The 25,651-nt window shown below is 59.3% G+C and overlaps 1 long non-coding RNA gene across 1 annotated transcript, besides 6 other annotated features; it reads left to right on the top strand.

Annotated features, from left to right (window-relative positions):
- Positions 4,065 to 4,635: an enhancer, noted in NCBI's record as "H3K4me1 hESC enhancer chr17:79305671-79306241 (GRCh37/hg19 assembly coordinates)". NCBI's record gives its function as "activates a minimal SCP1, AML or CMV promoter by ChIP-STARR-seq in primed H9 embryonic stem cells {active_cell/tissue: H9 hESC(primed)}" and the evidence as "EXISTENCE:reporter gene assay evidence [ECO:0000049][PMID:30033119]".
- Positions 4,636 to 5,206: an enhancer, noted in NCBI's record as "H3K4me1 hESC enhancer chr17:79305100-79305670 (GRCh37/hg19 assembly coordinates)". NCBI's record gives its function as "activates a minimal SCP1, AML or CMV promoter by ChIP-STARR-seq in primed H9 embryonic stem cells {active_cell/tissue: H9 hESC(primed)}" and the evidence as "EXISTENCE:reporter gene assay evidence [ECO:0000049][PMID:30033119]".
- On the top strand, positions 5,832 to 25,241 carry TMEM105 (TMEM105 long non-coding RNA). The gene is made up of 3 exons (NR_165247.1): positions 5,832 to 6,362; positions 22,025 to 22,098; positions 22,521 to 25,241. It is a non-coding gene; the product is annotated as a TMEM105 long non-coding RNA (long non-coding RNA).
- Positions 6,350 to 6,919: an enhancer, noted in NCBI's record as "H3K27ac-H3K4me1 hESC enhancer chr17:79303387-79303956 (GRCh37/hg19 assembly coordinates)". NCBI's record gives its function as "activates a minimal SCP1, AML or CMV promoter by ChIP-STARR-seq in primed H9 embryonic stem cells {active_cell/tissue: H9 hESC(primed)}" and the evidence as "EXISTENCE:reporter gene assay evidence [ECO:0000049][PMID:30033119]".
- Positions 6,920 to 7,491: an enhancer, noted in NCBI's record as "H3K27ac-H3K4me1 hESC enhancer chr17:79302815-79303386 (GRCh37/hg19 assembly coordinates)". NCBI's record gives its function as "activates a minimal SCP1, AML or CMV promoter by ChIP-STARR-seq in naive H9 embryonic stem cells {active_cell/tissue: H9 hESC(naive)}" and the evidence as "EXISTENCE:reporter gene assay evidence [ECO:0000049][PMID:30033119]".
- Positions 7,492 to 8,063: an enhancer, noted in NCBI's record as "H3K27ac-H3K4me1 hESC enhancer chr17:79302243-79302814 (GRCh37/hg19 assembly coordinates)". NCBI's record gives its function as "activates a minimal SCP1, AML or CMV promoter by ChIP-STARR-seq in primed H9 embryonic stem cells {active_cell/tissue: H9 hESC(primed)}" and the evidence as "EXISTENCE:reporter gene assay evidence [ECO:0000049][PMID:30033119]".
- Positions 17,780 to 18,318: an enhancer, noted in NCBI's record as "H3K4me1 hESC enhancer chr17:79291988-79292526 (GRCh37/hg19 assembly coordinates)". NCBI's record gives its function as "activates a minimal SCP1, AML or CMV promoter by ChIP-STARR-seq in naive H9 embryonic stem cells {active_cell/tissue: H9 hESC(naive)}" and the evidence as "EXISTENCE:reporter gene assay evidence [ECO:0000049][PMID:30033119]".
- Positions 25,242 to 25,651: the final 410 nt, after the last annotated feature.

Genomic DNA, 25,651 nt, shown 5'->3' with positions numbered 1-25,651 from the left:
GGACAGATGGGTGGATGGATAGGATGGATGGGGTGTGGATGGGTGGATAGGTGGATGGGTGGATGGGTGGATGGTTGGATGGGTGGATGGGTGGGTGGGGGGTGGATAGATGGGTGGGTTGGGGAGTGGATAGATGGGTGGGTTGGGGGGTGGATAGATGGGTGGGTGGGTGGGTGGATAGATAGATGGGTGGGTGGATGGATGAATAACTAGTGAATGGTGGGGGTTTCCTAGGTGCAGAGATAATGTCCTTAGCCCATTCTAGGCCCCACTGTTGTCAGCAAAGTTGACTCCACTAACTCCACAAGGAAATTTCCCCTGGAGAGCCAGAGATCAGAGCCAAACCCTGAAGGTGGACAGACAGGGGTGGAGGAGGGGGAGGGGACTTCCTGCTGCTTCTCATGGGTGGGGGCATGTGGGTGGCCCTGGGTGCAGCCTGGCCCGGCCCCGGCCCCCCAGCATTCCTCTACTTGTGAAATGTGACTGCGTGAGTCTGGAAGAGCTGGGCATGCTCAAGGAGGGCGGGGGTGAAGCTCACATTAGGGGAAAGAGCAGGGCAGGGCCACAGATGCGCTCCCAGCTCACTGCCACAGCTGGGCGGGGCTTCTCTGCCCAAAGGCCAGGTGAGAGGCTGCCCTTTGCTGCCGGCAGCTTACCTGTGACCACCTCGTGCCCTCGGCCATGCCTACCCATCTGCCCACTCTGAGCAGGGCTGACCCTTCCCAGAGCCTGGTGGGCTTATGCTGGCCAAGAGCGCCAGCCCCAGGCACCTCATGGAGACTGCCAACCACCTTGTCCCTTGGCCACAGGGACATGGGGTAGGAAGGGAGAGGAGAAGGAAGAGAAAGTTGGCACAGGCCAGCACCTGTACTTGGTCTGTTTATAGCATTAGCACTTGGCGTCCCCATGACTGCCCTGCCATGGAAATCACATTAAAGATGAGGCACAGAGAGGGTCAGTAATTTACCCAAGGCCACACAGCAGGATTGGAGCTAGGTTTGTCTGACTAAGAAGCCTACCCTTATCTAAGACACAATGTTTTGCAGATTAATGAAAATCATCATCCCGCAGGGCACATGGCAGATCCCTGCTCCTGCCCAGCATAGTGCCCATGGCCTTCAGCCAGGTAGCTGACCTGGCTTCCCAGACGAGGCAGACTGGGGAGAACAGCTTCTCAGGGCCAAGGGCTCACACTGCATCCCACAGCTCTGGAGCCCGCATCAGGCCAGGGCAGCGGGGCCACTGCCTCTAGGACATTGCTGGGAAGAGTGAGTTCTGACCCCTTCCACGTTCTGCAGAGCCTCGCTGGGGCCTGGTTAGATCCACCTGATGTGCTAGTCCAGTGCTGACTTTGTAGCATTAGCTCAGGAACTCAGGGCTCCCATCCCCTCTGCTCTCACGTGCCTCCCCGCTCGAGCACTGGAGACCTCGGTACACCAGATGTGGTCCCCATTGCTGCAGATAATGTCCCCAGTCTCAGGAAAGCTTTGGCGGTTTCTGTGGACTTACGGGCATTTTGCAGAGACAGCTATTCCAGCAGGGGTCCTGTGGGATGTGGAGTGAGGGCGTGGATGGCAGAGGGGGGCTGCTGTCTCCCGAGCGGGGTGGCCTCCCTGTCCGCACCCTACCCTTGGGGTTCAGCAAGTCCTGCTGAGCCTGCCGCTGGCACTGCTTCTCCAGCTCCAGGTCTCTCGTGTCACACTGGGCTCCTGCTCCACCCTGTCCCCAGCCTCCCTGACCCCTGGCTGGCTCCCTCCTTGTTCTCGTCCATCCTAGGTCCACAGCCAGCTGGAGAACTGAGACAAGCCGTGAGCAGTTCCCAAACTCCTGGGGAAGGTCAGCGGTCCCCTCCTCCCGGGCCTTACCTGCTCTGTCCCAGGCTGGGGGTGGCTATTCCCAGGCCACAGCCCTGGGGGGATCAGAAGGGCGGTGCTGGCCTTGCAGGGTGACCTGGGAGCCAGGGTGGACAGCAGGAGGCCCACAGCTCCTCCCCTTCCCCTGGGCGGGTCCTAACAGGTGCCAGAGCCGGCCCACTGGGGGCCCTAAGCTCTGCAGAGTTGGCCGTGGACCCAATCCTGGGGCTTGGGAATCTGCTCTTCATTGATGCTTTCACCGAAGTGGAATTCATTCCTACACTTTTTATTGATCTGAGTGAAGGGGCCAGGCTGGAGTGGCTGCTGGGCTGGAGAGGCAGGGGCTATGGCCCAGGTCCCCACCCTGCTCAGACCCTGGAGGCTGACCCTGTGCCTGTGCCTAATGGTGGCTTCTGGGCACTGGGGCCCGAGGGAAGCCTGAGGGCAGGGGGGAGGGAGGAGGGCGTGCACGTTCACCTCGGGCCCCCATGCTCAAGGCCCCTCTCACCAGTTCCAGCAGCACCTTCTCTCCTCACCCCCTGCCTGAGGAGGTGACGGCCCCCTGCTGTTGCCACGTGCTGGGGCACCTCCTCGGGTCCTGACAGCTCCAAACCACGGACTGCCTGATGGCCAGAGCCCGCTGCGAAGTGGCGATCCCGCACCCATGCGGAGGCTCCAAGACAAGATGAGAGGGCCCTGCCAGAGGAAGGGTTCCCTCTCCTCCACCCACCCCGATAGGAGTCCACCCTGGGATTCGGTGATGCCTCACCCTCTGTCTCCCAGCACCCCTGGCTGCCGGGGGGGATTGAGGGCCGGTCCCACCTTCCTCCTGTACCCAACTGGACCACAGGGCCGCCCCATGCCCCAAGGGGCCTCGGCTGGGACGCTTGCCATCTCCGTGAGCCTTTTCTCAGGAGAAGGGGGGCTGGTTCCCGTCCGGATGCCTCCCTGGCCTGCCTCTGCACCTGGCCCACCTCTGCACCTGGCCCTCCTGCCTGACTCTCGGACACTCCCCTTGGTTTGAGGGTCAGGCAGTGGCCAGACGCCCAGGGAGAGTTCTCCATCTCGAGCTGTGCTCTCTCTGCACTGCCCCCCTCGCTTCTAGCCATCAGGGGTCCCCTCTGCTCTCCGCCAGCCACCTCCTGCCTGCTTAGGGGAGAAACAAGAGGAAGGTGCCCCCGTAGGAGCCCCAAGACCACCAAAGGGACAGATCTGAGAGGCCACTCCCCAGGCCTGCTGTCCAGCTCTGGGGTGGGAGATGGCACCAGAGGAGAGGCCATCAGAGGCCCCCGAGTGGCAGGACAACGGCTGCGGGACTGCCTCTCCCAGGCTTGCCTTCCCTCGGGTGGCTCAGCAGCCCCTGAGTGATGCTCCTGCCTGGGACGCTTGACCTGCACTGAGCACAGGGGAGTCGGATCCGGAGGCATTCTCGGAATCACCTCTCCGGATGCTCAGAAAAGGGCAATGTTTTTAAAAAGGCAAAAGGGTGCGGTGCGTGTTATAGATGAGAGGAGGCTAACGGGAGACCCTGGATAGGATCCTGAACGAGGCTTGGGGTGGGACTGCTCTGGCGGGCCGTGGAGCTGACTGGGAAGTTTACACACAGCAGGCGGGGCCACGGGGCCGTGCATCGTTCTGTGTGGCACTGCGTTTCCCCAGGCGTGCTGCTGGAGGCAGGCAGGTGTTCTTAGACATTTGATGCTACAGTATTTAGGGTGAAGTGTCAAGGTGTCTGCAACTGACACTCAAAAGATTCAGCAGTTTTACATAAAGGGGGAGCAAGAAGTAAGAGAGGAAGCCAAGGTGACACAATATTTTTTAAAAGGGCTTCTGGGTACAAATCAGTGTACGTACAGAAATACATTTTATTTGTGCAGATGTGCAGAGACACTTTCGGCTGGCATGGTGGTTCATGCCTGTAATTCTAGCACTTTGGGAAGCCAGGGCAGGAGGATTGCTTGAGCCCAGGCTGGACAACATAGTGAGACCCCATCTCTGCAAAAAACACAAAAATTAGCCAGGCGTGGTGGTGTGTGCCTGTAGACCCAGCTACTTGGGAAGCCGAGGATCGCTTGAGTCCAGGAGGTCGAAGCTGCAGTGAGCCTTATTCTCACCACTGCCCTGCAGCCTGGGCAACAGAGCAAGACTCTCTCAAATCAATCAATCAATAAATTTGACTGCAGGTGCCAGAAGTGGACTCTGACTAACTGAAGCCGGGAGCAGGTATTTGGTTGGAGCTTGCAGCAGGGAGGGCAGGGGGAAGGCGCTGTTCAGGCCCCAACAGCAGCGGCTCGGGAGTGGCCCCAGCACAAGCCCAGTGTCCCTCGGCTCAGCATTCAAATTCCAGGAAAAGAGTCCCGATGGTCCGGCTTGGTCTAGGGCTGTGGCCCGTGGCAGGTCCCCAAAACCACACCTGCCGCTCCAGTGCCCCCCAAGGCTGCATGACCTTCGTGTGGACAGGATCATGGAACACATGACCTCACCCAAGCCTCCCAACCATGCCGTGATCCAGCACTGTTAGAATCATCCCCGTTTCACAGAGCAGAGTTGAAGTGTTGGGTGTTTAAACGCTGTGCCCAGGGCTGTCCAGCCAGGGAGTGGAATCTGGTCCTGGCCCAGAAGGCAGCAGCCCCACCCAGGCCACCTGCTCCAGGTCCCCGGGCTCCACAGACTTTCACATCTACTGCAGAGGCGCAAGGACGTTCCCCAGCATCAAAGCCCTCAGACCCTGGTGCCAGCCACGTCGTCACAGAACTTGTAGACCAGAGGATGCCCTGCGGATAGAGGGCCTGCCCTGGGCCTGCGCCAGGCTGGGCATATTGCTGAGGTCCCTGCTCTGTGCTGGCAAAATCCAGACCTCAGGAGAGGGGCAGGCAGGCTCTGAGAGGTTGCGGCTGCCCAGGGCCTGCAGCTGGGAGGAGCGGAGACAGACCCCCCCTCCCCTGGGACACAGTTGCTCTGCACCACACAGCTCCGCTCCTGGCGTCCCCTGGCTTTGCCGGGGGCGGCCGACCCAGCTGGCCAGGCCCCCTCCCCCTGCCCCACAGGTGGCCCTGAGCTGCTGAGGATAAGGCATGCTGGGCGATCTCTGCTGATTAGAGTCGCCCTCCGCTGTGGGCTAGGGGCCCCTATTTTGCTCCTGAGATCCCAGTCGGCCCATAGAAGCCCTCACAGGCTCTCCCGGGGGTCCAAGGAGTCCCAGGAGGCCCCCGTTCACCCCGGGTTTGCCTTCTCCCTCCTGTAATTTGCTTTTCATATGCGTGAAGGGGAACTCAGCAGGAGCAGAAGATGATGTGGCCTCGTGGGAGCGTGGGAGAGCTGGGACGGGGTGGTGGGGAGGAGCGGGGACCCAGGGACAGGGGCTCTGGGTCCAACCACCAGGCCTTTTGCACTTCGTGCTCTCTGTAGCCTCAGCTTCCCCCGAGGGTCAGGAACTCCAGGCAGGGGCATGGGGCAGCTCAGAAACCTTCCTGAGCCCCTTCCCCTGGCAAGAGGCAAACCAAGCAGGTGAGGGCTGGGCCCTGTTCTCAGAGCTGGCATCCCAGCCCTGGCCAGATCCAGGCTGAGGGCGGCCCAGCCCCCTGTTCTGCCTGGTGCAGAGGACACGGCTTCCCTGGCCGGAGCCCCCGCCCCCTCCTCTCCTTTCTTGGCGTCTGCCCCTGGGCGTGCCCTACCATTAAGCCCTTGTTGGTTCCACAAGCTGGGGGCACCCCTTCCTCCCTTCCTCCGGGCAGCCATTGGCAATGGCTGGCGGCTCGGGACAGGGCCCGTATTCTCTGAAAATGATGGCTGGGCTGGAACCCGGGATCGATTCTCAGACCTGCGTCATGTGGAGTCCCGGATGCTTGTTACGAATTCGGACCCTGGCCTGTGCCTGCTCCCTGGTACCTCTGAACAGGGCTTTCTGCCCTGGGGGTGTGAAGAGGGCCAAGTCCACTCCCCGACTGGGGTCACGCCTGCCTCCTGTCAGGACTGTGAACACTGCGTCCCCATCAGCTCAAAGAATACGCATGGGGACAAGCCTGGGGGGCCGTCTGAGAGTCCCCCAACCCTGGATCCCCACGGCAGCCCCCACTGTTGGGTTTTTCAGTGGCTGGTGTGCCCTGGGCTGGTCACCTCTGCATTTTGCTCTGCTGGGAGTTTGCTCCTGGCCCTCCAACAGCGCCTCCTCTGTGAGGAGGAACTCCTGTTCCCGTGGCTCTGCTGGCTCTGGAGGCTGGAGTTCCCGTGCTGGGCCCTCCTGGGCGGGTTCTCTCTTGCTGCCGCCAGTACCCTGCCCCTCTCGTCCTCCTGGGTAGCCTGGGAGGAATGGCAGAAGAAAGCAGTGAAGCCAGGTAGCAGTAGCCCGGCCACCCCACCAGGCTCTGCTGTAGGCTGGGCTCTCAAGGCAGCTGCTCCAGGAGGGGCCCCCTAGGAAGGGACTGCCACACTCCTGGGAGCGTTCCTGGCCCCCTCCAGTGCAAATGACCCTGGGCCCCAAGGCTCCGAACACCCGCCCCTCTGCTCCAGGTAAGAGGGAGATGTGGGTGGTGCCTGGACTGTTGTGTGCTTAGGTGGGGGAGTGGAGCCTTCAGGTCTCAGGAACCCACAAATGCTTGTTGAGCTGATGAACCCTGCAGAGATGAGAAGCTTAGGCCCAGAGAGCTGATGCCACCTGCCTGGGGCCACAAAGTCCACTGGGCAGAGGAGGGTGGGAACCCCAGTCCTTGGCCCCACTGTCAAAGCGGGTGCTTCCCAGGGAGAGCAGAGCCTGGGGTCAGTGCGGAGGACACTGGATCCCCAGTTCCGGGCTGGGGAGAGGCAGCTGGTGTTTCAGTGCTGCAGAGAGGGCCAGGCCGGCCTCAGACACCCTCCCCGAGGCCTGTGTGGGGGTGGAGGGCGGCCACACCTGTCCCACTGCAGGCCCTGGGGTGGGGTTTCCTGTCTGTGCTGGAGCCCGGTCAGGTTTCTCACTTCGCCCGGGGCAGGGGTGCAGGGCAGATGGCCCAGCCAGTCATGAGTCACCAGCCCAGCCTGCCGGCCTGCCTGACAAACGGGAAAGACCCGGCGGGTAGGAGCTGGGCTGGGAGCATCCTAGCTGGGCCTGGGCCAGCCCCTTCCTGGGAGAGGAGGGAAGCTGCCTCAGGCCTCCGGGGAGAAGCTCCCACCTGGCCCGGACCCTCCTCCCTCCTCCCTCCTCTGGCGGGGTGAGTGGGCTGAGGGCCTGCTGGGCCCCTGCATGGTGGGAAAGTTTGGGGAGGGGAGGGGTTTCCAAGCCTCAGCCGTCCAGGCCTACGCATCCCAGATCTCGCTCGCTCCACAGCGCTGTGCCATGTCATGGGCTTCTTTTTTCCTGGTCCGAAGTGTTAGTATCTGCGAAATTGCAGGCTTGATGTGTTGGCTTTATTTTTCTAACACACACTAAAATAAATCATGCGTGTTTTACAGTGTGTTGGGGCCATCTGTGGGTCACGGACGGCCCTTCTGGCCTGGGGGCTGGCCAGCTCTTTCTGTAGGGTCCAAAGAGAGCTTGAGTCCCCAGCTGGGGTAACCCAGGCAGGGATTTTCCCGACATGTAGCCCCAGAGCAGGGAGGCTGTGGCTTTGAGGAGAGGCGGAGTCCTCAGCCCAGCCTTCCTCAGGCCTCCAGAAGCAGCCTCGCCAGGCAGCCTGGGTCTGCCACCCTGCAGACAGTGTGCAGGGCAAGGGAAAAAGGACAGGCCTCTCTCCAGCCCCACACCTGCCCACGCCTCTCCTGGAATTGCCCCCATCAGAGCCCCTTGGGGGCTCATTTTCAAGTCCCCTGCCCCTACTCCGGGGACCCGGGTAGCCCTGGGCTAGCCTCTCCTCCCTGGGCCCCGCCGTCCTCATACACACCTTGTCCTTAAGCTGCCTTGGCTCCCAGGGGTGCTCAGTGTGGCCATGGCCGACAGCCCTGGACTCTTACAAATCAAGGGGGAGACACGCGAGGCCCCGCCCCCACCCTGGGCCCGGAGCCAGGTGTCCCTCAGGAAAGGGCTGCTGCAGGTCTGCAGGAAAGTGCAGAGGGTGCCCTGCGGGAGAGACGCCCACACTGCTGCCCAGCACGGGCTGCTGAGAGCCTGCGAACTCAGGCTCTGGGGCACACAGAATGCCCCCACCCCCTGCCTGTCCACCTCTTGCCCAGTCCCTCTTGCGGGCACTGTGTCCTCCCTATGGGGCTGTGAGCCCTGCCCTTGCCAGCCCTGCTCCTGCCCTGGAGACCCTGGGGGTGATTCAGGGGAGAAGATGCATGGGGTGAAGGGCGAGGCTCCCGGGCGGGTGAGGGTGGGCTGGGATCAGCCCCACTGCGAAATGGACCCCGGGGCTGATGCACCTGTCTTCCCCAGGCAAGCCTGTGGCGAGTGGGGGCTGGCTCAGTTGAACCCTCACTGCATACCAGGGCTGGGCCTCAGCTGCCACCATGATCGCAACTAGCTCTGAGAGGTAGAGGCTGCTCCGTCCCCAGATAAAGATGAGGAAACTGAGGCGCAGAGTGAGGAGGCCTCCTGCTCAGATCCTGCAGCTGGGGAGGAGCAGAACTGAGGCCCTCCAGGCAGCCCCGGCTGCTTCGGTCTGCCTGCCAGGCTGTGTCCAGGCCATGTGGTCTTAGAGGCCACCCCTCTCACCTGAGCCGTTCTTGGGTGTTCCTCACCCAACAGCCCCCCTACCCCGGCCCAGGAATAGATACAAAAATCTTTCTTTTCCCTCAAAGGTTAAAATCTGGATTGAAAAAGCAAGTGGGGTTTGTTGGCCTCTCAAAAAGTGGAGCATAGGCCGGGTGCGGTGGCTCACGCCTGTAACGCCAGCACTTTGGGAGGTCAAGGTGGGCGGATCACCTGAGGTCAGAAGTTTGAGACCAGCCTGGCCAACATGGTGAAACCCCATCTCCACTAAAAAGACAAAAGTTAGCCAGGCGTGGTGGTGAACACCTGTAATCCCAGCTACTTGGGAGGCTGAGGCAGGAGAATCGCTTGAACCCGGGAGGTGGAGGTTGCAGGGAGCCAAGATCGCACCACTGCACTCCAGCCTGGGTGAGAGAGCAAGACTCTGTCTCAAGAAAAGAAGAAAAGAAAAAAGAAAAGAAAAGAAAAGAAAAAAAGCAGAGCACAGGATTCCCACGTGACTCAACGATGCCACTCCGGCTACAGACCCCAGAGAACTGAAGGCAGCAGCTGGTGCAGACGAGAGCGCCAGAGTCCACAGCAGCCCTGGTCACGGCCAGCAGGAGGTGGAAGCACCCAAGTGCCGTCGACCCATGAGTGGACAGACACACAAGTTGTGGTCTAGCCACGTGTGGAACAGGGTTCAGCCTGGAAAAGGAAGGAAATCTGACACCCGCTACTGCGTGGATGGACCTCAGGGACGTTATGCTAACTGAGGAATTCCAGACAGAAAGGGACGTGGTGTGTGCTTCCACTTCTGTGCAACTTCTAGAACAGGCCATTCACAAAGACAGACAGAAGATTTGGGGTCACCAGGGACTGGCGGGGGGGCGGAGGGTGGGAGGGATATTGCTTAATGAGTACAGAGTTTCTGTTTGGGATGATGAAATGTTCTGGAACTATTAATAGAGGTGACAGTTGCACAACATCGTGAATGGAGTTGATGCCATTGAATTACACACTTGAAGATGGGTCCGTTGGGGCCGGGCGAGGTGGCTCATGCCTATAATCCCAGCACTTTGGGAGGCTGAGGCAGGTGGATCACCTGAGGTCAGGAGTTCGAGACCAATTTCACCAACATGGTGAAACCCCGCCTCTACTAGAAATACAAAAAATTAGCTGGGGGTGGTGGCGCATGCCTGTAATCCCAGCTGCTTGGGAGGCTGAGGCAGGAGAATCGCTTGAACCTGGGAAGCAGAAGTTGTGGTGAGCCGAGATTGCACCATTGCACTCCAGCCTGGGTGACAGAGTGAGACTCTCCAAAAAAACAAAAAAACCACAACAGAAATTCGTTTTCTTGTGGCTCTAGAGGCCTGAAGCCTGAGGCTTGTATCTACTAAAAATACAAAAATTAGCTGGGTGTGGTGGTGCACGCCTGTAGTCCCAGCTACTCGGGAGGCTGAGGCAGGAGAATCGCTTGAACCCGGGAGGCAGAGGTTGCAATGAGCCGAGATCACACCACTGCACTCTAGCCTGGGTGACAGAGTGAGACTCTGTCTCAAAAAAAAAAAAAAAAGGAGGGGGGACCCTGTGCAAGGCCAGGAGGGGCCCACCTGCGTCATCTGGCAACCCATCCCTTCTGAGGGCCAGACCCGTTGGCAGCAGGGATAACAGGCAATGCCTCTGTACTTTGCCTTTTTTCTTTTTAAAAGACAGAGTCTTGCTCTGTTGCTCAAGCTGGAGTACAATGGCACAATCGTGGCTCACTGTAGCCTCAAACTGCCAGGCTCAAGTGATCCTCCCATCTCAGCCTCCCAAGTAGCTGGGACCACAGGCATGTGTCACCACACATAGCTAATGTTTTTATTTTTAGTAGAGACGGGAGTCTTGCTGTGTTGCCCAGGCTGGTCTCAAACTCCTGGGCTCGAGCAATCTTCGCACCTCAGCCTCCCAAAGCGCTGGGATTACAGGCATGAGCCATGGTGCCTGGCCCACTTTGCTTCTCATTCAAAGGTTGGATGGGGAAGGTGAAATCGTCAGGGCCAGGAAGGCTGGGATCAGCTGTGGTCTCTTCCTGCTCCCTCCTCTGCCTGCTCTCGGGGCTGCTAGGCAGAGCTGGCTGTGGTCGGTCAGGCAGCATCCTTCCTCTGGCCTGCATCTTCCACTTTTTCCCACCGCCAGAAACCTGTTGGAGGTGGACCCCGGCGTCGGGCAGGTGCTGGTGGGCGTGGCCTCCCCTGTGGCTGAGAATGAAGCCTTGCCTGGTTCGTGGTTTGGGTTTTGGGGGCCTCAGAGTGTGAGCCTGAGCCAGAACCTGGTCCTCTCACCACTGGCCCTGCAACCCTCCTGGCTGCTGAGTGCACGCATCGCCCTTCAGTATCTGTGCCGGGAATAACATCTGCACACGTGTCACGAGACACACAGGCTCACGGTGGCACTCAGGGATGCCCAGGCATTGCAATGCTAAGCCTCAAGTGACAGCAGTGGTTTGGGGATGGCCCAGAGTCTCCAGTCTCCCCAGCATCTCAGGGTCCCCCAGAAGGCAGGGGCCTTATCAGCCGAGGTTGCAGGGGTGTGCCTGGTGCCTACCACCTCTGCACAGTCGGGTGGGCAGCATGGCTGGCCGCTGTAGAGGGGAGTCTCAGACTGTGGCGACTCCTGGTTGGAGCACGGGTCCCTGGCCATGCCACAAAGCATCTGACCGCTGTCATGAGGCACCTGTTGTGGCCTTTCAGGTTTTACTCTTCGGCTGTTTCCCAGCTAAGCCTCCTTGGGGCAGGCTGCTTCACATCTCTGATCCTCACTTAAGGATCTCGAGTTGAGATCATCCTGGATTACTGTAGGCCCTAAATCCAATGACATGTGTCCTCAGAAGAGAGGGGAGAGACATCAGGGAGGAAGGTCTCTCGAGGACAGCAGAGATCAGAGTGACGCCGCCGCAAGCCAGTGATCACCAAGAACTACCAGCCGCCCCCAGGAGCTGAGACAGTCAGGAGCAGATCTCCCTCCGAGCCTCCAGAAGGAACCAGCTATGTGCCATCCTGACTGTGGGCTTCTGCCTGTGGCCCTGTGAGGCAATAAAGGTCTGCTGCTTGAAGCTACTGGGTTGGTGGCCACTTGTCATGGCAGCCTCAGGGCACTCACAGATCACTCTCCCCACCACTGCTGCAGGACCAGGCACAGGTGCGGGAACTCGAGTCACTACTGCTGAGTGGCTAGTGGGTGCTGGGATTTCAGAGAGACTCACTAAACAGGTGGCCCAGGCACCAGGTAGGGAAGGGCGGCAGGGGCCTGTGCACCCTCCAAAGCCTGGGACTGGCTTCCCCTCCACAGCGGCGGCCACCGACACGCCCCCGACTGTGCTGAGGTTGTAGGCACCAGCACACACTTGCGACCTCAGCTGATGAGGCCCCTTCCTTCTGGCAGATGCTGGGAGATGCTGGGCCATCCTCAAACTCACAAGGAATTTATCTGTGACCATATGTGAAGCCCATGTGGGTGTGGAACCAGTGTTATGCCATCTTTCCTGCCCGTGGGCACCCCATTTACCCACAAGGCCAAGCTGAAAGGCCGCCATGGGGTCCCCCAGGCTCCGGGAGAAGTCAGGGCTGCCTGCTGCCCCCACACTTACTGGTGGAATGTCTGCTGTCCCTGGAGGCCTGGGCCCGGCTGCGGGCTCCCTGAGGAGGGCCTGTTTCCACCCCGGCTGGGCTTCGGTGTACAGGCTGCCGGGCAGGGACCCGAGTGTGGGAGGCCCCACCTGCCAGCACCAGGCCTGGGGTCCAGGCTCCAGGGCCTTCAGTCAGCTTCCATTTCCTCCTTAGCTCTTCTGAGTGTTGGAGGAATCACTCAAATCATAATCACCAAAGGCCTCGGTGGCCTTGAAGCCGGTCTTACCGTCACTGTGGGTGGACGTGCAAATGTTCCTGCATGGGTGAAGACCCTCGGGGTCACCATCTCAGGACAGAATGATCAGGGTGGAGAGAGGACACTGAGGACTCCCTGGGCTGTCAGACCCTGGACAGTCAGACCCTGGACAGACCCCCGGCGCGGCCCCCCACTCCCTGGCTGACCCTCTCGGGCCTGGGCCAGCTGTGACATGAGGAACTGTTCCTTCTGGCTCTGCCTCCAGCGTGAAGTGGGGCGTCACAAAGAGAGGAGGAGCCCCCTGTCGTACCCACACTTGTCCTGACAATTCTTGCCCCAACAGGAAACAGGCCCCGGCAGAAAGCCGCCTGGCCTCTGTCCGAGCCCGGGCACCCGGGTTCACGTGCTGGGCTGCCCGGCCCCAGGGTGTGGAACCGATTTATTCGGTAGCTTTGCTGCTGATTAGTTGCAGGTGAGTGGATGGCACGTGGTTTGTGTTGTAACAATATTTTGGGACAATTAGATTGAAACCACATTGCTGGCGGCCCCGTTGGCTGCTGGCCGCGGCGCTGCACTCTCTCTGCCCTTTGTGGCTCCCGGATGGCCGGGCCGCCCCCACCCCTCCTGGGGCCTCCCCATCCTCACCCCCACCTGGGCTCCAAACCCTCCTTCTGACCTCCAGCTGACCTCAGCCGTCAGTTGTTCCAGAAAACAGCTGCTGGGAGATTTCCCAGGGCAGGTGGGGAGGGGGCGACCTGGGGGGCCCATGTGGGATTTTGAGGATGGACGACCCCCAAGCCAGTCTCAGCACGTCTCTGTCTCTACTCCCAAAGAAGAGTTCCTCAAGTACCCCCTCCTCAGCCAACAGCCCCCTCTGCGTCCACTGCATCCTGTAGGAGGGAGAGCCTGACCCGGTGACCCCAGAGTGAGAGGGGACAGCCAAGGCCAGGTGTTCTGGGCCCAGCTCAACCACCGAGGGCTCCGTCCAGGGCTCCCCCGAGGCCCGGACACCAGCACCACCCAGAATCCCTTGCAGCGGGAGTCGTGGCTTGCACCTAGCGTGCAGGGGCTGAAGGAACCCGGCTCCCACCCAAAAGCAAGGCCTGGCAGGCTGCCACTCACAGTGCCCCCAGGATGGCCAATCAGAGGAGGCCCTGCTCTGATCACGTGACTGGGTTTGACAGAGCTGGGCCAATCAGCCTTCTCAGCATTGGGACTCCGGTGTCAGCAGAGGGCGCTGTGATCTTTGGGGCGTCCAGTGGGGATGGGGATGCGGGTGAGGATGGGGGGTCAGGGTCAGGGTCAGGGGCTGGGTCAGGGCCGGATTCGGGGGAGTCCCTCCATGGGCAGCTAGGATGAGGTGGAGGGGCCGGTGGCAGCAGCTGGTGCAGGGCCCCTGACCTGCTGCTCCTGTCACCCCAAGTGCAGCTTCCCTTTCCGCATAGTGGGGGTTGGATCCCGGGGTCTGTGCGGGGGGACTCAGTGCCGGTGAAGGGTGGGTTAAGCGGGGCCACAGGTGACAGGCGTCGGCCACCACCCGGGGAGCCTGCTCTCAAAGTGTGGTCTGCAGACCCACAGCAGGACCCACAGCGGGCGCCCCTGAGAAGCGCAGGTGTGGGGCGGCTCCCAGGAGGCCCACGTGCTGAACCCGGCTGGGCCCACCATGGGGCTTCCCATGTGAGACCCTCTAAGGTGTGCGCCACTGGAGAGTCCAGGTGTGAGGCATGAGTGAGACACCGGGGCGGGGAGGGTTGTGGTGAGAGCGACGGGCAGAAGCGAGGCGGGACTGGGGCCTCCAGAAGGCGGGTGGGCACCGGGAGCCAGGCTGCGGGGAGAGGTCCCAGCAAGGGTGGTGGGGAGTGCCGACTGGTGCCCACCCCCTCGGCACAGGTCTGAGCTGCTCCCACATTGATTACTTTGATGCTGTTTGGAACCATCAAATATCAAATCATTTCCAAGAAGCCCATGGTGTCCTGGCTTTGCTGGTGCCCTTCCCTCACCTTTGTCAGTTCCTGGGGGTCCAGGCTGGCCGGGTGCTCAAGCAGCCTCCAAGATGGCTCCTGTGGTCCCCTTTCCCACCACACTGGTTTGCAATCCGTTGTCCATAACTTAGGCACCGGGCCACAGGGAGTGCTGGGAAAGGCAGCCCTGCACCCAGGAAGAAGGACAACGAATGGGGTCTCCTGAGCCCCGGTGGGACAAGTAGCTTGGGCTCACTGGTCAGGGTGAGACGTCGCTCTGTCTCCCTGCTGGGCGGCCTTGGCCTCTCCCCGCAGCCAGCTCTCTCCCCTTTGGGCCCTAGCTTCCTGCATGTGGGCTCATGCCCTGGGTTCCAGAGCTTTTGACCGGAGGGGAGCTCTGTGAGTGAGAAACAGGCAAAGCGGTTTCAGGTGCAGCATAAACACTGTCTTCTGCCCAGACTCCTGGAGGGCTGTGACCCCAGTAGCTGCAGGACAGGCCCTGGCATGGCATCGGTGCCCCAGGTGGACAGAGGTGCCTGTCTGCACAGCTTTCCACAAAGCTCTGAAGACAAGCCATGTGGCCAGAGTGAAGAAAGCTGGGGTGGGGGTCATGAGCCTGGGCGCTGGCTCCATCGCACTGGAAACTCCTAAAAGTAAATGGGGGACTTAAGCCATTGTTACTGGGGTATTTTTTTTTTTTTCCTGACACGGAGTCTCCCTCTGTCGCCCAGGCTGGAGTGCAGTGGCGCGATCTTGGCTCACTGCAAGCTCCGCCTCCCAGGTTCACGCCATTCTCCTGCCTCAGCCTCCCGAGTAGCTGGGACTACAGGCACCCGCCACCACGTCCGGCTAATTTTTTTTTTTGTATTTTTAGTAGAGACGACGTTTCACCATGTTAGCCAGGATGGTCTCGATCTCCTGACCCCGTGATCCGCCTGCCTCGGCCTCCCAAAGTGCTGGGATTACAGGCGTGAGCCACCGCGCCTGGCCGTCACTGGGGTACTAAAGGAAACTGTGATGAAACCCAAAAGCCATAACCAGAAATAAGTGTATTACACAAAATGTTTGACATTTCTGCATGATAAAGACATCATCCTTTATTTTATTTTTATTTTTTGAGACAGAGTCTTGCTCTGTCGCCCAGGCTGGAGTGCAATGGTGCGATCTCGGCTCACAGCAACCTCCGCTTCCCGGGTTCAAGGGATTCTCCTGCCTCAGCCTCCTGAGTAGCTGGGATTACAGGTGCATGCCACCATGCCCAGCTAACTTTTTTGTATTGTTAGTCGAGATGGGGTTTCACCATGTTGGTCAGGCTGGTCTCAAACTCCTGACCTCAGGTGATCCGCCCTCCTCGGCCTCCCAAAGAGCTGGAATTACAGGTGTGAGCCAACGCACCCTGCCAAAAGAGATCACTCTTAGCAAACGTCAAAACACAACACACTGATCAGGGAAATGCAAATTAGAATCACAGTGAGATACCACCGCACCCCTTCCAGTGTAACTAACATCAGTAGGGCAGACACTGTCGGGTTCTAGTGAGGAGGTAGAGGAACTGGAACTCTCATACTGTGGTGGGAACGTAAATGGTGCAACCACTTTGGAAGGCAGTTTGGCAGTGAGAGAAAAAATTAAACATCCACCTACCGTGTGACCCAGCCACTCCACTCCTGGGTGTTTACCCCAAAGTGAAAACACGATTCACACAAGGCCTCATACACAAGTGTTCATAACAGCTCTATGTTATGAACTGGAAGAAACAAGCCAAATGCCCACCAGCAGGTGAGGGTGCACATGCGGGGCACCCAGACTGCGGGGGCTGCCACACGCGGGGCACCCAGACTGCGGGGGCTGCCACACGCGGGGCACCCAGACTGCGGGGGCTGCCACACGCGGGGCTCCCAGACTGCGGGGGCTGCCACACGCGGGGCACCCAGACTGCGGGGGCTGCCACACGCCGGGCACCCAGACTGCGGGGGCTGCCACACGGGGGGCACCCAGACTGCGGGGGCTGCTTGGCAGCTGGGAGGTAGAACTGTCGGTACATGAAATGGCACGGATGAATCTCAAATCGCAGTGCTGAGCCAATGAAGCCAGAGTGTGCTGCCTGACTCCATTTCTATGAAATTCTAGAAAGGGCAAAACGAACCTATAGTGACAGAAAGTAGACCCATGGTTGCCTGGGACTGAAACTCAGTAGGAGATTGAAAAGGAGCCTGGAGGAACTTTCTGACTTTCTGAGGTGCTGGGTATGTTCTGTGTCTTTTTTTTTTTTAATTTTTTTTTAGAGGTGGGATCTTGCTCCGTCACCCAGGCTGGAGTGCAATGGTGCGATCACAGCTCACTGCAGCCTCAAACTCCTGGTCTCAAGTGATTCTCCCTGCTCAGCCTCCCAAATAGCTAGTGTTCTGTGTTTTGATTGTGGTGGTGGTTCTACAAATGTAAACATTCGTCAAAACTCTTCCAACTGTACACTTAAAATGGATGCATTTTCTTGTATCTAAAGTGTCATCTTGGCTGGGCACAGTGGCTCACGCCTGTCATCCAGCATTTTTGGAGCCTGGGGTGGGTGGATTACCTGAGGTCAGGAGTTGGAGATCAGCCTGGCCAACATGGCAAAACCCCATCTCTACTAAAAATACAACAAATTAGCTGGGCATGGTGGTAGGCACTTGTAATCCCAGCTACTCAGGAGGCTGAGGCAGGGAGAATTGCTTGAACCCGGGAGGCAAAAGTTGCAGTGAGCCGAGGTTATGCCATTGCACTCCAGCCTGGGTGACAGAGCGAGACTCCGTGTCAAAAAATAAAAATAAAAATAAATTTAAAAATTAAAAAATAAAGTATATCTCAATAAAGCCGATTAAAATTAAAATCCAACATTCTATTTGTCACCTATCAGATGACAAGGATCAAAATGACTTACAATATCCTGCTTTGCCATAGATGCAGGGAAACAGGCAGGTTCTCATCCCTGGGCAGGAGGGATGTGCACATTGGCACGCATTTGCTGGGCCATTTGGCAACATCAATCAAAATTTGAAATCTGCGTGGCTTTCACCTGGTAATTTGTTCTTCTAGGAATTTTATCTTCCAGATATACTTGCATAAGGTCACAAAGCTACATGAACAGAGGTGTGCTTTGCAGTGACATTTTGTTATGTTGAAAAATTAGAAGCAACCTAAATGTCCAACAGTACAACTGGGCAAATACATATAAGCTGTCAGCCATCCCAGTTTGCCCAGGGCGATCCCGGTATTAGCACTGAAAACCCCAGGCCGTGGGAAACTTTTCTTTTTTTTTTTTGAGACGGAGTCTCTGTCGCCCAGGCTGGAGTGCAGTGGCGCGATCTCGGCTCACTGCAAGCTCCGCCTCCTGGGTTCACGCCATTCTCCTGCCTCAGCCTCCCGAGTAGCTGGGACTACAGGCGCCCGCCACCATGCCCGGCCGGCACTGGGAAACTCTTTAATCCCCTAGAGCCCTCAGGCAGCTGGTGACTCCAAATACCCTACAGAGTGGACAGGCAGAGAAATACTACAAAGTCATGAAACATGGCGTGTGGGTCTCGGTACTACTATGGACGATGTCCATGTGACAGTAAATGAAATTAAACGGAACGCCAAGTTGCGAGTGGCAGGTATGGCAGGATTCGAACTGTGTGAGGATTTGATGCGTGTAGAATGGACCTCTCCGCATGCACAGTGCCTGGGAGGGGAATAAGGAGCCAGCCATTCATACACGTCTCTCTGGAGCCTGCCGGGGGAGGGGTTTGCTACTTTTTGCTTTAAATCTCATTGTGCCATTGGCTTCATTTGCTTTGTGTGTGCATGGATTTTATAATTAAAAAAAAATTTTCTATAGGAAGTGTGACCTTGATCTGCATTGAGAGGCAGGTGGGTGGGGCCTCTGGATCACAGCCGCAGTGAGGCCAACTCCGAGGGGTCCAAGGCTGCTGAAGCCTTTAGCAAGGGAGGGAGATGGGGAGAGGGAGGGGTGTCCCAAGGTCAAGGTCCCGGGGCAGGCGGAGGCGGCAGACTCCTCCCCTGAGGGGGACCCCTCGCCTGGGGCCACCTTCTGGCAGCGGCTCTAGCCCCTCTTGCGGCAGGCAGCCCCTGGTCTCCACCAAAACACGGCCAGCCTGGGATTGTTAAACAAATTGACTGGCTGGGCCCTGAGCCCGGCTAATTCTTGTGTCTTAATGAGTGGGAAGATGAGGTTTTATTCATCACCGGGGCTTTAAAAATTGCAGTAAAGTGGCCCACTTTATAAAGAAAAAATCAATAGCAAAAAGAAAACAGGAGTATGTAAATGGACAGGGTGACAAAAAGCAGGCCAATTACCCCCAAAATGAGACATAGTTATGGCTCCATTAACTCAATTATATTTTCAAAAGAATTTCTTACGAGGCCCCCACCCCACCCCACCCGCACACGCCTGTAATTTTTACATCAACTTCAAGGCATTAAACTGCATTAAATTATTTTGTGGGAGAGAGAGGTGTGTTTCGGAAGACAGAGCTGCAGGCAGCCCTGTCCGGCTCCACTCGGGGGATGGGGGTCAGGCGTAGGCAGGCAGGGAGCCCCCACGAGGGCCCGTGCAGGGGGCAGGCTCCGGCAAGCCAGTCCTGAGGGGCGAGAGGAAGAGGAGCCATGGGATCTCCCAGGTGTGGCAAGACCAGGGCCCAGCCAGGGACAGCAAGGGACTTGGTTGTTCCCAAGCTCCTAAGTCCCCATGACATATTTATCTCCAGATGGTTCCCTACTCTATCCACACCCCCAGACGGGTGGCCCCGAATATGCCAGTCCACATGTGGGAACCTAACCTTGCTGGCTTCATGAGTTTCTCTTGGTTCCATTAGAGTTAGAAAACTTAATTTTTTGGAGATATGGAAAAATAAAGTTGTATGAAAACACATCAGAATGGGGGACTACCTAGGGGTATGTCTGAAGCCTATCCTTTTTTTTTTTCTTTTTTTTTGAGACAGAGTCTCACTCTGTCACCCAGGCTGGAGTGCAGTAGCACAGTTTCAGCTCGCTGCAACCTCCGCCTCCTGGGTTCAAACCATTCTCATGCCTCCCAAGTAGCTGGGACTACAGGCGCCCACCACCATGCCTGGCTAATTTTTGTATTTTTAGTAGAGACAGGATTTCACCATGTTGGCCAGGCTGGTCTCGAACTCTTGACCTCAGGTGATCCACCTGCCTCAGCCTCCCAAAGTGCTGGGATTACAGGCGTGAGCCACCGTGCCCGGCCTGATGCCTATTCTTCATACCACCCTTTGCAGGCATAGAGTGAGTCCCTGGAACTCGGGGCTTTGAAGTGACACTGGGCATGACTCACTTATTCAAGCGCGGATCACCCTGCCCATGCCAGGGAGGCCTTGAAATCCCAGAGTCCATGAGCAGCTCCTGGCTGCTTCTATAAATGTGCCCAGCCCTGAGGCGTGGTGACTGTAACCTGCTTTTCCCCGTCAGCCGGGCCCTGGGGAGCCCAGGCCTGCCCTACATAAGTCTGCACCTGGGCCCCACGGGACTGAGCAGTTAATATCATGGATTTCAGGCAGAGTGGAGGTGGAGGAAGGGCTGGGGTGTGGAGGGGACCCTCAGACAGGTGTCCTGGACAGAATGCCAAGGGCCACCTGGCCAGGGTCAGCGGCCAGAGACTATAAACCCAACGGCGATGGACGAACAGAGAGTTCACAATTGGGCTGAGCAGTGGGGTTGGAGGGACCCTGAGGCAGGAGCCAGGGCCCCTCCAGGGCTCAGGGCCAGGGAGCCAGGGCTGGCATGATGAAGCTTAAACCACAAAACAGAAGAAAGCAAATCTGCCCCATTCTGCCTTCTGAGACATCTCACCAACGCAGCAAGAGGACTGCACAGGACAGGACTCAGGGGGTGGGGCTGCCCCGGGCAGAGTGTGAAGACCAGTCCTGCGGGCCTGCCCTTCAGGGTCCCTAGGCCGCCGGCCCTGCCAGGGGCTGTAGGAACAGCAGTGAGGGAGGACGGAGAAGGCAGCCGAGGCAGAGGGACCCCCTCCGGCCGGCTCCTGCAGGGCTATGGCTCCGCGTTGCCACTTGCCTGTCCTCCAGCCCCTGTAGCCTCCATCCCTCGCACAGCGCCCCAGACTGGCAGAGCCCATGCAGCTGCCAGACAGTCCCCGCTTCCCCTCGCAGCCAAGCACACCCTTAGCCCCAGTGTGAGGGTCTGGGACAGCAGACTGACGGGGGCAGGTGGGAAAAGACCACGTGCATGAGGTGTGCATGTGAGTACGTGTGTGTACATGTGTACACACACGTAAGAGACAAGGATATACCCTCAACTCTTACTGTCCCCCGCACCAGACCCTCAGGGGAGGCTCCGGACCCCAGCCTGTGCTCCCAGGTGGATGGTGAGGCTGCTTAGAACAGTCCTCACTCCGGGCAACGCCTGGGGAGGATCCTGGGGCAGGAGAGTCCCTGCCACGTGTGGAGCCCAGAGGAAGGTCTGGGAGGTCCCAGGAGAGGGAGTGATGCCTGGGGCAGGGCAGGGCAGGGTGAGGGGAGGCTGAGGCCGGGAAGCCGAGAAGACCTGGGCAGCTCTGGGGCCCCAGAGGCCTCAGCCTCGGGGAGCTGCCAGGTGCTGGGGAGAGCGTGGGTGCAACCCAACCCTGCCCTGCGCAACGCTCCTCAACCTGTGCCCTGTCACCACCCCAGGCCCTGGGTCCTCCCTACTCTCCCAACCCTCAGGGACCCTCTGTCGGCCCCCAGCCCTAAGGATGGCGCGTGGCTGCCCTCCCTGGCTGCCCGCCACCCCTGGGCTGGAGCTCCAGCCTCTTTCCCACTCCCTCTGGCCCTGTCAGTCATCTGCCTGCTCCTGCTGGCCAGTGGCCTCTTGCCCATGTGCTGAAAGAGCCATTGTTCAGGAGGGGATGGAGGGGAAGGGTCGGCTGGTCAGGCCTGGTTACTGGTCAGACTCCGGCGTGTGCCAGTGGATGGACTCGGCTGTCCCCTGGGGCCAGCTGGGCAGCCCACGGGACCTGGAGGCAGTGTTGGGTGGCTGGGGAGGCCTGAGTGAGCTCAGAGGCCACCTCCCCTCCTCTCAGCACCTTCCTTCCCAGCTGAGCCTGAGGGAGGATGAAGAAGATGCATTTGGCCCCGGTCGGCTGCTGCAGCCTCTTGTCCAGCAGAGACCCTGGGGGGCGGGGGACACACAGGGGCTCCCTGTGCGGCCAAAGAGGCATTGGAGAAGGGACTTCCCTGAGGCAGCCTGATGCCTCTGACTGGCGGCAGCTGGGAGCCCTCCGCTTGAGGACCCGCCGTCACAGCATGGCCCCTGCAGGCCGGGGCTCTAACGTGGTACTACTGTAGGGCTGGCAGGGCCTGGGCGTGGGGACCAGGCAGAGCTGGGGTCCCAGGCCCTGCATGGTGTCCACTAACAGGACACCAGGTAGTCTCCCGAGCCTGCCGACCTCCCTGGCCTCAGCCATAAGATGGGCTGAGAGAGAGTGGAGGCTCTGCGGCGGGATTGGGTGAGGAACATTTGAGCTGGAGGCCAGCCTGGCTCTGTGCGGCCCCGGGAGGCCAGAGGTGCCCCTCCGTCATGTGGAGGAGCTGACTGCAGAGGCCTCCCATCCTGTTCCTCAGGCAGGGGCCCCGTCTGGCACTCCCAGGCCACCCCGGTGCTGGGGGAGTTGCAGGTGGTGGGGTCACCTTGGGGGGGGTACAGCCTGTCCACATCAGCTCTGCTTCCCTCTCTCCCTGCCCCCACAGGCTAGCTTGGCTGAGCCCGATGCTTCTCAAGGTGAGGAGGGCGTCCTTGAAGCCTCCGGCCACCCCACACCAAGGTCTGTGCACCAAGGTCAGGGCTGCGCAGGAAGAGGGGAGGGGTGGCGGGGAGGTTATGGTCTGGAGGGAGGAGGGAGGGCAGGGGAGGGAAATAAAAAGAGATTACATTTTTTAAAAGGTACTCTAGCTGTCTGCTGACACCGCCCCTGGTCTCCATCCGTTTTATAGCCTGATGGGCTTGAGCAGCTGGGCCTCGTCTGTCAGGGGCATGCAAAGGGTGGGGGCTGGGAGCAGAGCCCCCACAGGAGGCCTGGATGGGGGCCACCTCTCCCCGGGCCTGGGTTCCCTCTGGGGTTGCCCAGGCCGGGCAGGGGCGCTCTGTGCAGGTGGGATGGGTGGAGGGAAGCTGGCCCGGGGCGGGCGGCCACTATCTGGGCCCATCTATTCCCCTGACAGGTCAATTTTCTCTCATGTTTTACAGGAGCTTTCAGGGCAGGAAATGTGATCGGGCAGCTGATTTATCTCCTTACCTGGTCTTTGTTCACAGCCTGGCTCCGGCCCCCCACCCTGCTGCAGGGCCCGAGGACGTCTCCCCAGGGGTCCCCACCTCGGTCTCCTTGGGGGGACTGTGCTGAGCCCAGCTGCCTCTGTGAGATGAAGATAAGAAGGCGAAGACATGAAGGGCCTGCCTGGGGGCAGTCTGGCTTTCTTGCAGGGGGGCTGCACCTGGTTCCCTCCTCCCTCTCGCTGGCAGCCTGCGGGGTGGTGAGGATGAAGGGGCTGTGGGGCCGGGGTGCAGGGATTAGAGGGAGGTGACTGCCATCTCTTCCTCCTCATCGTGTTTTTCACCTCTTAAGTCAACTTTAGATTCTCGGACTCAGAGTTCTCTCCTGACGGTGGCAGGGTCCTCAGATCACCGGTGCAGACAGGGCCAGACAGGGCCAATGTGGGGACCCACTCAGCCTGTGGCCTCTGCAGGAGGGAGGTCGGAGGCCTCAGCAGCCACCCCGGCCACCTCCTGAAACAGTGAATGTCCTTCATTTTCAGCTGGCAAGCTCTGATCTTACAACGAGGTATGGAACTGTTCAGAAAACTTTCAGCAGACGTTCGAGGGAAAACAGCTCAGCTTCCCATGCCCCCCACCTCTGCCAGGAGCGACCCCATATCCCCCAAACAGAATTCTGGTAGCCCGGGACCACAGGGTCTTCCTGTGCCTCCCCTGCCAGCTCTGCATGACTTTGTCACGTACTTGAGTGCTGGCTGAGATGATGCTACCGCTACCAAACAGGTGGGAGGCCAGCCCCAGCCCCAGCCCCAGCCCCACCGGGGCCGGAGCTCCCGGTGAAGAAGCGTCTGCCTGGTTCGCAGGTGTCCAGGACACACCAGTCGCCTGACTCCCGGTCAGGCAAACGCACACATCAAGTTCTTGCAAGCCAGGGCTCTGCTGGCATCTTCAAGAGGAGGGAGGGTCCTGGCCCTGACCACAGGGCTCCCTTAACAGGAGGAGTTACAAACTCGGCTTCCTGGGGGGCATCGTGGGGTGTGCTGCCTGCCAGGAGACCCCACTCCTGGTCACGGGGTTCCGTCCCACACAGTGGCAGGAGCCATGCATGATTCTTGGCTGAAGAAGAACCCGCACAGCTATGTGGTCTGCCGCCCAGCAGGGAAGCCCCCACATCAGCCCTAAGGGAACTTCCCAAAGCTCAGCAGGTGCCTCTTCCTGCCATCCGCTAGGTCTTCTCTTGGCCCCTCTCCCAAGCCTTGACCCATAGCTGACACTTCTAGAAAAGTCTTTACCGAGAAACGGACCGGCTGCATGGGTGGTGAGGAGGGCAGTTGCCCAGGGCCTGGCATCAGAGGGGCCTGTGGCTAAGGCTGTCCTGAAATTCTTAATCATTTTACCTCTGAACTTGCGGGTTTTTGTTGTTGTTTTTTGAGGCAGAGTCTTGCTCTGTCACCCAGGCTGGAGTGCAGTGGTGCGATCTTGGCTTACTGCAACTTCCGACTCCCAGGTTCAAGCGATTCTCCTGCCTCAGCCTCCCGAGTAGCTGGGACTACAGAAGTGCACCACCACACCCGGTTAATTTTTGTATTTTTAGTAGAGACGGGGTTTCACCATGTTGGCCAGGCTGATCTCAAACTCCTGATACACCCGCCTCGGCCTCTCAAAGCACTGGGATTACAGGTGTGAGCCACCGCGCCCGGCCCTTTTCCTGCCTCCTAAACAAGTGGCCAGGAATTCTCCTCCTGCACCGGGTCCCCAGATTGTGTGGCAAGCCCTGCAGATGGCACAGGGGACTGGTTCTTCCTCGTGGAAAGCCAGGCCCGGACACCTCTCGGGCATCGCCTGTTGGGGTGACCCTCCCACACCCAGCCTGGAACCCTAGCCAGCTCAGCCTCCGTCCGCTGAGAAATCAAGGTGACCTTGTGGCTCAGCCCTCAGGGGGCACTCACCACACAAGAGTTCCCTTTCAAGACCCCCTGTTCGGGGCTGGGGCCCCCAGGAACGGTTGGGGCACCTTCCTGGGGCCCTGTTTTTCCCCAGGAGCGGGGCCTGGGAGCTGAGGGCGTCTCATCTCCCCACAGGCATCTGCTGCTGCTCCTGGCTGCCACTCACCCCTGTGAGATGCTGAGGGCAGGATACCTGTCTGTGCGGGGCGTGGGAAAAAGGGAGAAAGCCTGGCAGAGGGTTGGGGGCTAAGAAGCAAAGGGCGTGGAAGGGCCACCGTGCACTTTTGAAGTCTCTACTTGCCAGTGGCCACCCCACCTCTCCCTGCCCTCATCCAAGGACGGACAGGCCTGGCAGGTGGACCGGAGCTGTGGGGCAGAAGCATCCCAGGCCTGGCCTCAGAGGAGGGAGGCCATGGTGAAAGTGGAGGCTGTCTGCATCCACCTCCCCAGCCTTTGTCACCGGGACCTCAGCCTGACCCCAGGCCCACCCCAGGCTGCTCACCGAGGTGGGTACCCTGCCCACCGCCAGCTCAGATGCGGTGTGTGGACTCCCTTCTCTCTGGGGGTGAGCGGGAGTTCCCTCCCCTCCACATCAGGAGCTGGGGGAGAGCTGGAGGGCCCTGGGATCCCCTTGACCCTGGTCATCAGCCCCAGCCCTGACAGGCCCTGCGTGTGCCATGTGTGGCCTGGGTTTGGAGCTCAGCACCCTGCGGGAATTCTATTAAATCTCCGATTTTATCTGAAAACTTCACCCACATGTTGCATTGCTCTGTGAGGCGTCTGTGTGTGTCCAGGCAGCAGTAACAACGCTACTAATGCTGGCGGCCATCACAGGAAGCCAGTCCGAACGTCCCCCAAGGGCCTGTTTCACCCTCATGACACCAGGCGTGGCAGAGACGAGGAGCAGAGGCCTGGACCTCTCAGGGTCTCAGCAGGGGGAGGCCGGCCTGTCACGAGTGTTTGATGACCATGGAGAGGAGGTGGTGGAGGTAAGCGTGGCTGCTTCCAGGGGAAGGGCGGGCAGTGCTGGGGGAGGGGTTCTGTATTGATTAAGCACGTACTGTGTGCTAGGTCCTCTGTGGGCTTCATTTAATTTATTGCCACAGCCACGGGAGGGAGGGGTGGTTAGCGCTATATTTCAGATGAGGAAACGAGGCTCCG

The sequence above is a fragment of the Homo sapiens genome, chromosome 17 (assembly GCF_000001405.40).
Source record: "Homo sapiens chromosome 17, GRCh38.p14 Primary Assembly".
Taxonomy (NCBI): domain Eukaryota; kingdom Metazoa; phylum Chordata; class Mammalia; order Primates; family Hominidae; genus Homo; species Homo sapiens.
This window is presented reverse-complemented; position numbering and strand designations above follow the sequence as displayed.